Genomic DNA, 15,933 nt, shown 5'->3' with positions numbered 1-15,933 from the left:
TGAGAAACCGGTTGTTTGACTATGAGAAACCGGTTGTTTGACTATGAGAAACCGTTTGTTTGACTATGAGAAACCGGTTGTTTGACTATGAGAAACCGGTTGTTTGACTATGAGAAACCGGTTGTTTGACTATGAGAAACCGGTTGTTTGGCTATGAGAAACCGGTTGTTTGGCTATGAGAAACCGGTTGTTTGACTATGAGAAACCAGTTGTTTGACTATGAGAAACCGGTTGTTTGGCTATGAGAAACCGGTTGTTTGGCTATGAGAAACCGGTTGTTTGACTATGAGAAACCGGTTGTTTGACTATTAGAAACCGGTTGTTTGACTATGAGAAACCGGTTGTTTGACTATGAGAAACCGGTTGTTTGACTATGAGAAACCGGTTGTTTGGCTATGAGAAACCGGTTGTTTGACTATGAGAAACCGGTTGTTTGACTATGAGAAACCGGTTGTTTGACTATGAGAAACCGGTTGTTTGGCTATGAGAAACCGGTTGTTTGGCTATGAGAAACCGGTTGTTTGACTATGAGAAACCACTCATTTAATTTGCACACCTTTAAAAAAAAAAAAAGTAACTTTACGGTGGAGAAACCTGGCAACCTCAGCCAAGCAATCAAGGGGTGAGGAAATGGCACTGTTTCTGTAGTCTTCTTCCCCCAAACACACAGCCCTAGTCCAATCATGAGAAAAATATCCGACAGTCTCAATCGAGGGATACGCTACGAAATGTTCGACCAGCCCTCCTCAAAACTGTCCAGGTCATCAAAACCAGGAAACAAAGGGAACTGCCACAGCCACCAGGAGCTAAGGAGGCCTGACAAGTAAAGGTGACGTGGAATCCTGCATAGGATCCTGAGACAGAAAAGGGACATTAGGTAAAGACAGGGAAATCTGAGTAAAGTGTGGGCTTTTGCTAATCACACTGTGTCAATATCAGCTTATTAACTGTGATAAGTCATACTAACTACTATGCTAATAAGAGAAACCAGGTGCAGTGTAGATGGGAACTTTCTGTATGATCTTTGCAACTTTTTTCCAAATCTGAATCTAGTCTGAAATAAAAAGGTTATTAAAAACAAGAAGAGAAACCAGTCATGCCTGAGGGTATCTACACCCTTATTTTTCCCCTCATGAGCCAATAAGTTCCTGTTGCTTAATCTGATTTTAGCTGAATTTTATCAATTGTAACTGAAACAGTTTTAAATCAAAATCTTATGTTTTTAAAAGAGGAGAAAGGAAATATAAAAATCCAATTTTTATTTGTGTGCACAATGTAAATCAGGGTCAAAACACCAAGAAATGGGACCATGAAGTTTATTCATTGAGAAAATGTATTTATAGTCCTGAAATCAGAGACTCTTTTCACAGAGCCATAGGATTGAAACTCATTTGCTTTGTTTCTAGAACGGCATTAACCACTTTCATGGTGTCCTCTTCATGCAATCAACCAGAACTTGTTTAGATGTCTCTAAATCTGTGTGAGAAACAGTGACGTTTCCCAGCAGGGAGTCCTTGGCCATGGCATATGCAACTCAGGCTGATCGTTTTGTCATGTAGCTTTTGGTAAGAGGACCTGGCTGTTTGTAAGTTCAGGGCACTGTCTTTGAAAGCCATTGTGGAGGCTTAACGGAGCTTCCCGTGAGGAATGTGTTCAGCTTAAGAAGTCTCTGTTGCTATCTTTGCTTTGTCCCTTTGAGGTGAGATAACCCCAAGGTTACAGCTTCCTTGCCTTCTGGTGGTTTTTAGCAACCTTCCATTAGCATTCCTAGTCTCACCATGCAGACCCAGTTTCTCAAATTCTTTGTGAACCAGCTTTCTTGACTCTGCTTTTTCAGAGTGAAGTAAAAATTGGGCATGTGCTTATTTCACATAATGCAGTCAACCCTCATTACTTGTGGATTCCATATGTGCATTATTATTATTATTATTATTATTATTATTATTATTTTTGAGATGGAGTCTTGCTCTCTCACCCAGACTGGAGTGCAATGGCACGATCTTGGCTCACTGCAACCTCTTCCTCCTGGGTTCTAGTGATTCTCGTGCCTCAGCTTCCAGGGTCGCTGGGATTACAGGCATGCCACGATGCCCAGCTAATTTTTGTGTTTTTAGTAGAGATGGGGTTTTGCCATGTTGGCCAGGCTGGTCTCAAACTCCCGACCTCAGGTGATCCTCCCGCCTCAGCCTCCCAAAGTGCTGGGATTACAGGCGTGAGCCACCGTGCCTGGCCTGTATGTGCAAATTTATTTATAACACCCAAGTCACTACTCATGGCATTTTCGTGGTCACTGGAGAACATGTGCAGAGCAATGAAGAGTGCCAGTTGCGGGATAAGCACATTCCTCACTGAAGTTGAAAGGGCAACGCTCTGCCTTCCTGTTCCAGCTCATGCCGTAAGCGAGAGTCTTCCTCCTGGCCTATTTTGTGCCATGCTTTTCACGTTTTGGTGTGTTTTTGTAGTGATATGGCTGTTTAAAATAGTCCCAAGCACAATGCTGACGTGCTGTCTGTGCTCCGAAGCCCAGCAGGGCCATGGGTGATGTGCCTTATGGTGCTGGCCATGAGTTCAGCGTTGATGCATCAACAACACAACACATGCAGAAAGGAGAGCCAATGTGCCCATCTGCACAGGAGGCCATGCCAGAAGGTGCTACAGTAACATCTATAGTATGTGATGATGTTATGGGAAAAATGGAAAGTTGGCTACGTTTGTGGGTTCATGAGATGATGACTGACTTTACAAAGTACAGTGGAGAGCAATATGTGAGGCTGAAATTTAGAGAAATGTATGACCATGGTATGCAGGGTCAGGAAAACGTTAAACTCTTCTTGGCTAGTGCTAGCAGCCTACACATTTCAAAAGGTGATACAGTGTGAAAAATGTTAAACTTGCAGGTGAGGTGGGTTCTGCAGATCAGGAGACTATGGAAGAATTTTTTAAATACCTAAGAGTTATACACTTAGGAAAAGGATTGTGTGGAAGAGCAGGTTTCAATGCTGATGCTTGTTTTATAAAGACATTGGCAAGTGAACCTGCATCATACAAATGGTACTTCAGTAACAAAACATGTTATGACCAGGACTCACAGGACGCTATGCTACATTTGCACAGGACCAATAGGTCAGTGTTTGCTAATTCGGTGTTCACAGTGACTTTCTAGAACCCATCACAAATAACAAGAACTGGTTGCATTTTTTTTTTCAAACAATTTAAGAATTGTGCTTTTACATTCTGGTTGCCTTGAACTGTGGAATCTTACATAGCCAATTAACATCACTAAGAAGCTCCTCTTCACCCAACCCGAGGATATATCCAGTTCTTGCCATGTTAAAGCACCCTGCAAAGTTATTTCTAATTTTATCCCATTATTTCCAACACAGAAAAGAGGCCAATTTTTGGCCAGCCATAGTGGCTCTTGCCTGTAATCCAAGCACTTTGGGAGGCCAAGGTGGGCAGATCACTTGAGGTCAGGAGTTAGAGACTAGCCTGACCAACATGGTGAAAGCCTGTCTCTACTAAAAATACAAAAATTAGCCGAGCATGATGGTGGGTGCATGTAATCCCAGCTACTTGGGAGGCTAAGGCGGGGGGATCACTTGAACCTAGGAGGCGGAGGCTGCAGTGAGCCAAGATTACACCACTGCACAACAGAGCAAGATTCCATCTCAAACAAAAACAAAACAAAAAAAGGCCAATTTTTAACAATTCCGTACAAAGGAGTTTTTATAAAATCAGTTAATTGACAAGGGAACAGCCAAATCAAATTGCGACTGAAATTTTAACTTTACTGAAGAAGCCCCTTTCCCTGGTAGCTTTTCTGCTGTGTTCAGGAACCACTTTTGCTCACCTGAGGAGTAGCTGAGCCTAGAGGTGGCAAGAGAATTGTTGGTTGCTCATGGATACAGGCCCTACTTCCTGCCTACTAACAGGCCTCAGCCAGACCAGGTATCTGGCTCCTGCCTTGGGAGCAGCTGACCTCACCTGGCGGGAGGCTGATTAGTCTCAACCCCCTACAGGCAAACGATTGGTTCAGAAACAGGCATCTGATGGAATTGAGGTCAGTAAGGAGGGATGATGGGTTTGGAGGTGTCTTCAAATTCAGAGAAATTCATTCTTCTCTCTTTTCTAAGAAACGCTCTGGAAATTCTTCTTTCCATAAAAACCACTGTAGCTGAAAAGGCAAAAAAGAAAGTAATTTCTACTTTGTACACAAAAGAAAGAGACTCTAAAATCACATTAATACTGAATTTACTCTATGTTTGTATTAGTTGCATCAAACAAAAAATCGAATGTGCTGTCCCATAGCGTCCAGACATTAGCTTCAACACTACTATTGACAATTTCCAGGTTTGCTCAAGAGTAACTTCAAGTATTACAGGACTGCCAGGTCCATACCCCTGCTGCACAGTAACAGCCAATACACCAAGACAGTAGGGTTTACAGCAGAGAAAGAGTATAGTGATTGCAGGGTGGCCAGATGAGGAGATGGGAGAAGACCCTCAAATTTGTCTCCCTGAGGAGTTCTGGCTGGGGGGTTTTAAAGGGATCATGGAGGGCGAGGAGTTGGAAAAGTGGGTTCGTTGATTGGTCAGGGTACGGGGGATGAAGTCATCGGGATGTGGAAGTTGCATTCTTGGATGAGTCAGCTCCTTGTGGAGTCCTTCACGGCAGCTGGTCTCAGTAGTTTCACTGGTATGCAGGATCTGAAAGAATATCTCAAAGGCAAGCCTTAATGTTTTATAATGTTCAAGATGTTATGTATAGAGCAATTAAGGGGAATGATAATCTGTGACAGAGTCTATGTGATTCTGGGGCAATAGGCACCAAACAGCTATGAGGAAGGGGCCCAGGGAGCCTGCTGACTTCATGATGGATACTGAGTGTGCTCCAAGCTTGGCTTATTTTCATTTCTTCCCCTTCCTTTTTCTCTGATTAATTTTGTAAAATGTATAGGGGCAGTTTCACAAGCTGAACAGTGTAAATATTTAAGGGAGGCCAGAGCCCTCAGATAATAGCCACATGGAAAGCCCTAGATTGTCACTGTACACGTTCACCTGGTGCAGTCAGTTCACTGCTTCCTTTTCTCCCAGGAACAACTTTCTTTAGGTGAAATCACTGCATCCAGGAAGAAAAACAACACGGATTTACAAAACAATCTACAGCTTTTGAAGACTAAGATGCATTTATGGCCACTCCCCTGAGTTCCAACCTGTCCAGGTTTGTAGCAGATGGTGTTTTAAACCAGCAGTTTTAAACCACAGGTTCACAAATAGAATGGAAAGGTGGCTTTTCACTCTTTCCTTCTTCTGGATGGAGCTCTTCTGGTACATTGCCATTCTCACTGCACAGCCTCTGAGCGGCTGCAGCTCGTTGCTGCAGTGGCTCCACAGTGATCACCATTGGTGACAGCCACCTGCCCCTCTGTTAGTTGGGGCATCCCTGTGTCTACTGTGAACTCCAGTTGCTGGAAGCCCCTACCTTCTGCCACTGCTGGTCTCAAGTCTACACCTTAGCCCCTACCTAACCAGGTCCCAGAAACAGCCCCAAATCCTTGGCACTTTTGGTTGTCCCAAGTCTCACAGCTGCCACTTCATGATGACAAGTGAGCCCAGTCGTGTTGGTGCCCATCTGACTCCTAGGGCCTGCTGGCTCTTGCTAGAGGGTCCAATTCTCCATCCCCAAGGGAAGGGTCTCCACCAGAGGGTACTGCAGCCCGAGGACACAGTTGAGGATTTGCCCATGCCAGCAACCACACTGAACTCTTCATATTCATGGTCTTCAGCTTCATTGTGAATTCGAATGACCTGCGGCTGCAGTGAGAAATGACTGTCTGTAGCCAGCAGGTCCATGCCCTGCCCATCTCTCCCAAAGCCTGCCCTCCACATCACCGCATGCACCATCTGCTAAACATCTCTCCCAAAGCCTGCCCTCCACATCACCATGCACCATCTCCTAAACATCTCTCCCAAAACCTGCCCTCCACATCACCGCATGTACCATCTCCTAAAAATCTCTCCCAAAGCCTGCCCTCCACATCACCACATGCACCATCTGCTAAACATCTCTCCCAAAGCCTGCCCTCCACATCACCATGCACCATCTCCTAAACATCTCTCCCAAAGCCTGCCCTCCACATCACCATGCACCATCTCCTAAACATCTCTCCCAAAGCCTGCCCTCCACATCACCATGCACCATCTCCTAAACATCTCTCCCAAAGCCTGCCCTCCACATCATCGCATGTGCCATCTCCTAAACACATTCATATAATAATCTCTAGGGTGAGCCTCTAGACCAACGGTTGGCAAACTTTTTAAAAAGGGACAGATAGTAACTATTTAAGGCTTTGAGTGCCAGGAGGGCAAAACTGAGTCTACTGGGTAATTCCCTATAGAACCATTTAAAATGGAAACATTTTCAAATGTAAAAACCATGCTCAGCTCACAGCTCATTCCTGGCCCTGACGACAAGCCGCCCAGCTTGCTAACTCCTGGCCCCCAGGCGAGAAAGTGGAAGTAGCAGGTCTAATAACTGTCTCCAGTCCCTCCCCAATGTTTGCTCTAAGGATTGGAAGAAGCACAAAAGTGATGAGATGCTGAAACTCTTTTTTGACTTTTTAAAATTTAAGTATCAGTGTACATGATTCAAAATTCAAATAGATAGTTGCTTTTGATAAAAATCTATGCTCCTCCACTTCTCCCCAGCTCTGGCTTTATGGCCCAGAAATAACCATTACGAGCTGTGAGCTGCCCCGCCCCCAACCCCATGAGTGTTTTGTCTTCATCTCTATGGACCGGCTTTTATTATTTCTCCATTGCTCCATTTCACATTTACAGACTTCCTTCTCATCAAGGATGAGAATTTGGTTCACTGTTAGCTCCTTATTGGATGCCTAACTCTTAGGTTACCAACTACAGATGATGTCTCTCTAGCCTCTTGTACAGAAGCATGAGGGTTGTCATACTCTGTCTTACATCTTCCTCCCCTTCCTCCTTACCAGAGTTGTTAAGGTTGGCAGGTCACATTCAATTCTGCAGCCATCATGGTCTTCTCTCTGCTGCCTGTTAGTTGATTCTAAAAGCTGAAAATCAGTAAGTTGAGTTTGCATCCTGAGTACAAGAAAGTACTGTTCCACGCCAGATCAAACAGTAAACTGTGATTGTATTAACAGTTTTATTTTTCCTGGAGTCTGATGGAGTTTCCCCCTTCCTTTGTGTTCTTTTAGTCTCATCTTTAAATCCTTCCAACCTGCTCAGGATCCCACCATCTGCATAACCCTCCCCACTCTTTCTAATAGAAACGTGAAGTCATACTGTTCCCACATGGACTTACTGATTTCTTGTCACTCTCCATAACATTATCCTGCAACCCCCCTTCACGGCTTCCTTTTAGATTGGATCCACCCTTTATTCCAATAGAGGAGTTCTTATTTTTCCTTGTTTTGTTCAACAGATAGCCTCCCAAGGTATTTGAATATAAGAGAAATAAACTTTGATTTTGTTTCAAGATTATTTCTTCTGTTTTCACATTTAACTTCCTTATGTAGCCAAACTCATTTCAGATTAAAACAGATTCTCCTAAGGGTTTAAGGAACTGCTTCCCAGTCTTCCAGGATCCAGTGGTGCAACTGAGAAATTGAATGACAGCCCGATGTTTGTTTCTTAAATGTTATTTCTGCTCTGGAAAATGTTGGGATCGTTCTTATGTTTGGGGCTCTAATTTTATGAGGATTATGTTTGTATAACTCAGTATTGACGTATTTTTGGCCCTCCTTGGCCCTTTCATTCTGAAGGTTGTGCTAGTTAAACTCTGGAAATTTCTTTGTCATTTCTGATGGTTTACTGCGGTTTTTAGTTCCCGCTTCCTGGAGTGCAAATTCGTGGATTCACCATCTATAAAGCTTTCTTTTAATCTCATTTTCCTTCTTTCTGTTCTCCTTCCTGGGAGACTTGATGTCATTTTCCATTCCTTCCAATCCTTCTGTAAGTTTATAGTTTCAAGAATCTTAATTTCTAAGAGCTCTTTCTCATGCTAGCTGTCTTTTCTCAGTATGCCATTCTTGTGGCATAGATGCAATATTTCCACACAAGTGTGAGGATACGAGTTAATATTGAGTTTTGTTTTCCAAAGATGCCATCTATTCTTGGAATTACTTCTCTGCTGGATATTTTTTGCTTGTTTATCTCGGCCTCACTGTCTCACCGCTAGCTCTCTGAGTGCCTGCTGATTGTCAGTTGTCTGTCAGGAGCTGCACAGGCTGTGTGGCACTGGCAGCCACTCCGTGTAAGCATGCAGGACTTCCTGACTGGCCAGTTCCACTTTAGGGTAAAAGGTGAGGACCTGGCCATTACATGCGGGGAATGCTTAAATGTTAGAATGCGGAGAGAATGTGATTTCCAAAATGGATTTAGATACAGTAGAGGTTGGAGAATCACCTGAGGCCAGGAGTTTGAGACCAGCCTGGGCAACATAGTGAGACCCTGTCTCTATTTTTTTTTTAAATTTAAGATTAAGTGAAAACTAAAAGTAAGAGCTAGCTTTAATGTTGATATGGTTTGGATGTGCCACCACCCAAATCTTGTCTTGAATTGTAGCTCCCATAATTCCCACATGTTGTGGGAGGGACCCAGTGGGAGATATTTGAATCAAGGGGGCGGTTCCCCCATACTGTTCTCGTGGTAGTGAATGAGTCTCACGAGATCTGATGGTTTTATAAGGGGAAACCCCTTTCGCTTGGTTCTCATTCTCTCTTGCCTGCCACCATGTAAGATGTGCCTTTCACCCTCTACCATGATTGTGAGGCCTCCCCAGCCACGTGGAACTGTGAGTCCATTAAACCTCTTTCTCTTTATAAATTACCCAGTCTCAGGTATGTCTTTATCAGCAGCATGAAAACAGACTAATACAAATGTGCTAATTTAATAAATGGAATATTAACTTATAAACTTCTGAGTAGTGTTTTCTGTGCACAAATGCTACCCTTGAGAGTGCCCTGAAAGTCACATTTAAATTATTTGTTGTTATTAACCCCATTCTACAAGTGGGAAGACAGACTAGATGGGTAACTTAGACAGAGATCAAGTACCTGGGACGTGGAGGAGCCAGGATGCAAACCTGATCTGTCCCACCCACGCCTGGGCTCTGCAAGGCTGTGCTGTGCCAGGCGGCTGCTGGGAGCCCTGGAGAGCCGTGAAAGCCATAAAATCAACAAAACCCACCTTCCATGGAAACAACAATAACAGCAATCAAAGCCCGCTGGAAATATTCCCCAAATGCAGACCTCCCTTCCTTACACTTGAGCCTATTTTGCCCATCCTGTTTTAATTTTTCTAAAAGCTTCCTAGTAGACACACTACAACAGAAAGAGAGGAAAACTACAGCCATTATAAAGAAAAGTGGCCAGACATGGTGGCCCACACCTGTAATCCCAGCTACTGTAGATGCTGAGGTGGGAGGATCGCTTGAGCCCAGGAGTTAGAGTCCAGCTTGGGCAACATTGGGAGACCTCTTCTCTTTAAATTAAAAAAAAAAAAAAAAAAAAGCAAGCAAGAAAGAAAAAAATAAAAATATTGATTGAGGATGCTTTTTATAAGTGAGTAGAATAATACACCAAGTATACTGTAAAGTAGAAAATGGACAATAAGGGGGGAAAAGTACCTACATTTCTATTTGCTCATAAATTCATAAAATATTCCCAGGTAAATATGAGCAATTTATTTGAGGTTAGGAGTTCGAGACCAGCCTGGCCAACATGGTGAAACCCTGTAGCTACTAAAAATACAAAAATTAGCCAGGCGTGATGGTGCACGCCTGTAGCTACTTGGGAGGCTGAGGCAGGAGAATTGCTTGAACCCGGGAAGTGGACTTGCAGTGAGCTGAGATCGCGCCACTGCACTCCAGCTTGGGCGGCAGAGGGAGACTCCATCTCAAAAGAAAAAAAAGAAAGTGAAACTTAAAAGCTGTACTATAAGTCAGAGATGAGGTAAGTGGGACAAAAAGACAGATCCCTTTAGCCCTGACAGTCTCTGGGCACACAGAAAAGCCAGGAGCAGGGGACGCACAGAGCCTGGTGCTGGAGATGAACTCCTCCCAGCTGGAGACCCCAAGTTCTGCACAGAGGAAGGGCAGGGGCAGAGGCAGCTGCCCTTCAGGCCTATCAGCACCACAGCAGAGGGGACCCACTGTTCGAAGGACAGGCTGCCTCTCCAGGGACAGATGCGCAGAGCAGACAGGAGTGGAGACCAGCAGAAAGCTGAATGTATACATCAAGCTTTTCTACTCTTTCCTCTAATAATTTTAGGCCTGATTTCAACTTGCCAGAAGAGAAATCGCTATAGACAAGAGACTTCATGGAAAACTAACTGGTCATCGGGGTCCCAGCTCAGCCTGAGCGGCTGCTAGATCCGCTCACCCATCCCTCTCCTAAGTTGGGAGTGCTCTGTTGCAGTACAGGGTACTGCCAAGCTGGCCTGCAGAGGGGGTCTCCGTGCCCAGTCTAGACAGACATGATATTCTCTGCACACACCCAAGGTGGGGTCAGATCAGTCGCCCCTGGGACAGTGGGGTTTCTTTCACTAAATACACACAGCATCATCATAAAATTTTACACAGAAAAGGGGTCAACATAGCTGGCTGGCATTGAGTCCCTAGGTTCTATTCAGTAAAATGTGTAACTGGGTTTTTTTCTTTGATTTTTGAGACAGGATCTCATTCTGTCACCCAGGCTGGAGTGCAATGGCACAATCTCATCTTACTGCAACCTCTGCCTCCTAGGTTCAAGTGATTCTCCTGCCTCAGCCTCTCAAGTAGCTGAGACTATAGGTTCCCATCGCCATGCCCGGCTAATTTTTGTATTTTTAGTAGAGACGGGGTTTTACCATGTTGGCCAGACTGGTCTCAAACTCCTGACCTCAGGTGATATGCCCACCTCAGCCACCCAAAAGTGCAGGGATTACAGGCATGAGCCACTGTGCCTGACCTGTGTTTTTAACATATCTCTAATAACACCCTAGTCATACAACACCCCCAGGTAGTCAGTCCTCTTAAAGTGAATACGGGTCTCCATCCAGACTTTCAATAAGCAGAATGAGATCTAATTAATAATATCTAAGAGTTCTGGAGGAAAAAAAAAAGTCTTTAACTTCTTATGTGCAATCATTAGAAAAGGTGTAACACTCCCATATACTCTGTGTTTATGTTAACAAGATACACTTCAATCTGTCTTTCAGGGGTGAGGCTCTCTGGTTAAGAGGGCAGGGTGCTGCTGTCGAGAATATCACCCACAGCATCATTTAGAGAAAGGGGAAAAGCTAGACCCACAGTGCACCTGCAGCCAATGCCCTCAGTCCTCATACCAACCTCCGAATCCTGGGTGAACGTTTCTGAGTTTGTCCCCAATTAAGGGTCAAGAGCCCCTTCCTGACAGCTGGGAGTGCTCTGTCCTTCCACTGTCTGCAGTTTTCTGGGACAGTGCACTTGACTTGAGGGAGATGGCTCCCCAGCCACTTCCCTGCCTCTCCTGGCTGCTGCGGTGGACTCCCTGGCCTGGCTGCCACAGAGACAGCCAGTTATAGGGGCTTGATGTCTGCCCTCCTTGGGCGCTGGGGGCCTCCACCTCCAATCTTGTGTGTGAGACCCTCATTGCTACCATTTCTTCCTCATACTTCACTGATGGCCACCCAGAGTTCTATCCCGAACACAGTGAGATTCGCCACCATACACACCACAAGAAACAAAAAAGGAATGAGGGAAAGAAAAGTATGAGGCTAATGGGCTTGTACCATATGACTTAGTGAGTTGATAAAAATTTAATAGTTGGTCATTTGGTTTTCTGTCATTAATAAGCCACATGGAGAAATCAACGGGGCAGTTTGGCAGTGGCCTTTAAACATCTAGTTCTAGAAAAGAACTTTCACCTTTTGGTAACTTATGATAATGTTCATTAGCATGTTTTTCCCCTAGACTTGAAAGTATGTGAAAACATCACCCAGTGAGCAGTACAGAGATCATTAACTGTACATGAATTCCAGTGTAAACTTGTTTCTCTGCCTTCAAAACCAGTTGACTGAGAACAGATTTAAAAGCTTAAAAAGGAAGATAGATCACAAAGATTTAAAATAAAGGCTGCATTTTCAACTGAATTATTAAGTGTAAACCCACCTTATGGGAATGCCCCCCAGAGACATTTGGAATTCCTGGAGAAAAATGTTGGGGAAACAGTTGCTTCTTCAGAATCTTAGCGTGGTTTCATATTTCTGTGCTTAAATGGCTTCAAAATAACCTGGGATAGAAATAAAGTATCAAGACACTATGATCTACTATTTATATTAATTCAGGTCAGCCCATAGGACAGGTTTAGTCTTGTACAGCAAAGTCCTATTAACCCCTTTTTCATTTTCTTAAGTCAAGAATATTTGTGTTTAAAAAAGTATTGGGCGAAAATAATGTTTGCAAGCAACTAGAGCTAAATATTTGTTCTCTGCTGTCTTTTCCCCCAGTCGTATCTGCTGAGACTCCCCTGAGTAGTGCATCTTTCGCATACAGGTGCTGATTTGTGGACTCACCTGTGTCTCAGGTGAACTTCCTCCTCTCCTGATCAGGACACCCCAACCCTCCCTCACACTGGGGCGAGCATCAATCTCACAGCATCCATACAGGTCTGCAGTGACCTCAATTATTGCCTCCTCCTCAGAAGGAGTTCGACTGAGGAAGCAGAAGGCAGGAGAGACCAACCAAGGCAAGGTTTAGAGCAGGAGTGAAAGTTAATTAAAGAGCTTTAGAGGGCCAGACGCAGTGGCTCACACCTGTAATCCCAGCACTTTGGGAGGCTGAGGTGGGCAGATCACAAGGTCACAAGTTCGAGACCGGCCTGGCCAACATGGTGAAACCCTGTCTCTACTAAAAATACAAAAATTAACCAGGTGTGGTGGCATGCACCTGTAATCCCAGCTACTCAGGAGGCTGAGGCAGGAGAATCGCTTGGACCAGGGAGGCGGAGGTTGCAGTGAGCCGAGATCATGCCATTGCACTCCAGCCTGGATGACAGAGAGAGACTCCATCGCAAAAAAAAAAAAAAAAAAAAAAAGCTTTAGAGCAGGAAGGAAAGCACACTTAGAAGAGGGCCAGGCAGGCAACCTGAGAGAGAAGTGCACGGCTTGACCTTTTGACTTGGGGTTTTAGACACTGGCATACTTCCAGGGTCTTGTGCTACTTCTCCCGCCTCGCCCAACTCCTGAGACCTTATCAGGAAGCTGCTGATGAGTTTCAGGTGTTTTCTATCTATTAGGAGACTGCCTTTCCCTGGTGCTGGCTGCAACCAGTTATCAGTTTAGAGAAACAGTTAACAACTGCCTGACCCTCACTTGATGGTGGCCCAACATCCCGGGTGTGTGGAGGGGAGCCCTCACCTGCCCCGCTCCCACCCGACTAGCTACCTACTGTGAACATTCTCTTCTTCCAGTCTCTTCCACACACAGAACTCCTCCCCTTCTTCAAGCACAGTCCCTCGCCTACCAGTTGGTTTTGTTTTGTTTTGAGGATATGGGGCATTGAGTTATGAGATCTTGTGTTCTGCAACCCTTAATACCTGCTTAACCAGTTGTTAGGTTTCATCAGAATTCGTTGCTATGCCTTCTCCAAATCCTTCAGGGCTCAGAGCCTCATTCACATATTTGGAGGTGAAGTCTTCACTGCATGCCGGTGAGATGGAGAGGGCAGGAGCTACGTCTTTGAGAAAGCTCACGGACTGAGGAAATGGTGCTACCACAGGGGCTTGATGATGTTTCGGAAGCATGGAGGAGGATCCCAGAGAGGAGCCTGCTGGGGAGAAGGTGATTCCCCGGTGGTCTTGAGGGAAGATTTGCCCACGCAGACACTTTACATATTTCACACTACACTGGCATGTTCTCATCCCCTTCAGAGCTGAGTGCAAAGGCAGCGTTTCCCTACCTGTGCATTGCAGGACACCATTGAGATGCCTAAAGGGGGAGGGTCCGGGGTGGGATGGAGGTTTTGTCTCCAATACACTTAGGCCAGGGTTTCTCAGCCTCTGCACTGCTGACCTATAGGGCCAGATGGTTCTTTGCTCTGGGGGCTGTACTGTGCACTGTGCAATGGTCTTTGGTTTCCCCGGCTTACACCCACTAGACGTCAGTGAAGCACACCCACCTTCCCTTCCAGTCACTGCCCTCCACTTGCCCTCAATTTTGACAATAAAAAATGTTTCCAGGCCTTCCAAGGTCCCCTGGGGCCATTCCATTAGGGTCTTATTAGCAGTCCTTCAAGACTCACAAGGTAAGCTTTTGTAGGTCTTCTCAGAGACGTACGAAGGTCTTTTTACTCTGCACCTCTTTCTGTTCACATAATATGTATTAGCGTTCTTGCAAGTTGGGGTTTTATGGAACATGCCTTGGAAAGGCTGCCACTCCTTTTGTGGGGGGTCCTTCTGGAGGGGTCCCACGCTGAGAAACAGAATTGTGCGCGTTCCGTGAGCAGCACCAGTCAGAGACTTCCTGAAGCAGGTGCAGCCGGGAGCGCTTCTCTTCCGCTCTAAGCTCACTTTCCTACTCACTCTGTTTCTTTGATTATCTGCTTCTGAAGGTGAGTGTTGGAAGCAGAAATACGCCCCGGAGATGGAGACATTGACATCTGCATAGGTTTTAATCTTCCCGGGGCAGAAAACATGGGAGGAACTGGTCTTGGCAAAGTCCTGGTGGGTCCCAAGCCCCCAACTCTACACCTGCTGCTCTCCTCCACCTGCAAACTCCCTTAGGGACGCTTCTATCTCCTTTGTCCTCTTCTAAGTCTTCAAATGGTGTTCTGAAATGCCGTATTTCTCTTGGAAAAAATGTGGGGCCATTCCCCTCCCCTAAGTCCCAGCAGACAGCCTCACATCCATTAAGGAAACATGGCGACATTGTCAGCTCACATGGTCTCTTCCAGGCTGAACCCTGCACATTCCTCACACACAGTGTGTCCCAGCTGGACTTTTATGTGCAGTGTCAGAAGATGCTTTTCCTCTCCTTGTAGTGCTTGGGTCCAGGCAAGCAAGAGATTTGGGGCTGACAAGTTGTTCCACTTGGTAAAAATGTACTTTTTCTGCCTTACATGAAACATCAGTGAAACCAGATGCATCCCCTTGAATATTTATGGTCTCACAGCTTCTTCTATTAATAATTCATCACACACGGTAGTGTCTACCCATCAACAAGCGCTACACAGGCAAAGAGAAGGAACAGAGAAAGTCCCCCTCCTCCCCTCACCCTGGAAGTCCCTGAACCCTAACCGGACAGATGGGGAGCCACATGTCTTGCTGGGCTCACCCTGTGAAAGATAATAAAACACACTTTGTTGGAATTTTCCATAACAAGCCTTTATTACTTTAATAAATCACGGGGGGAAATCAACAGGAAAAAGCACTGCTTTTCCAGCCAAATGCCTAAGAGGAACATTAGGCTTCTTTTGTCATTATGGGGCCAAATATTGTTGCTAAATTAGCCTGTTTGAAATACAAAAAGAAGCTTTTAGCCTCATACAAGTCAGCTTTGTCTTCAGCTCATAGAACTTTCAGGATTATAAACGCCTTTGTTTCGGATTATGTTATATTCACCGTAAGAGTGGCAGACAATATTGAACTGAACAGATAAAGTCACCTGGAATCTTAACGCGTAGAGACAAGCTTTGTCACCTTCATGTCTTGCTTTGTAACCCAGGACTGGCGAGCCTGCCTGTATAAATATGTACTGAAAAGCAAAAACGGTCTCATGCTCTAAGTTCTTGTTTTATGAATTGCTTTTAGTACAAATAAATTATAGTCCTCATTTCTTATCATGTATACACACGCACACACACGCACGCACACACGCTCACGCACGCACATGCATGCACAGGCATGCACAGACACATGCACTTGCACTCATGCACGCACACACA

At 45.0% G+C, this 15,933-nt stretch overlaps 1 annotated feature.

Moving 5' to 3' along the window:
* Positions 1,238-1,847: an enhancer, noted in NCBI's record as "OCT4-NANOG hESC enhancer chr7:154914484-154915093 (GRCh37/hg19 assembly coordinates)". NCBI's record gives its function as "activates a minimal SCP1, AML or CMV promoter by ChIP-STARR-seq in primed H9 embryonic stem cells {active_cell/tissue: H9 hESC(primed)}" and the evidence as "EXISTENCE:reporter gene assay evidence [ECO:0000049][PMID:30033119]".

The sequence above is a fragment of the Homo sapiens genome, chromosome 7, assembly GCF_000001405.40.
Source record: "Homo sapiens chromosome 7, GRCh38.p14 Primary Assembly".
Classification (NCBI taxonomy): Eukaryota; Metazoa; Chordata; class Mammalia; order Primates; family Hominidae; genus Homo; species Homo sapiens.
Note: the sequence above shows the minus strand (reverse complement) of the source record. Positions and strands in the feature narration are given on the sequence as shown.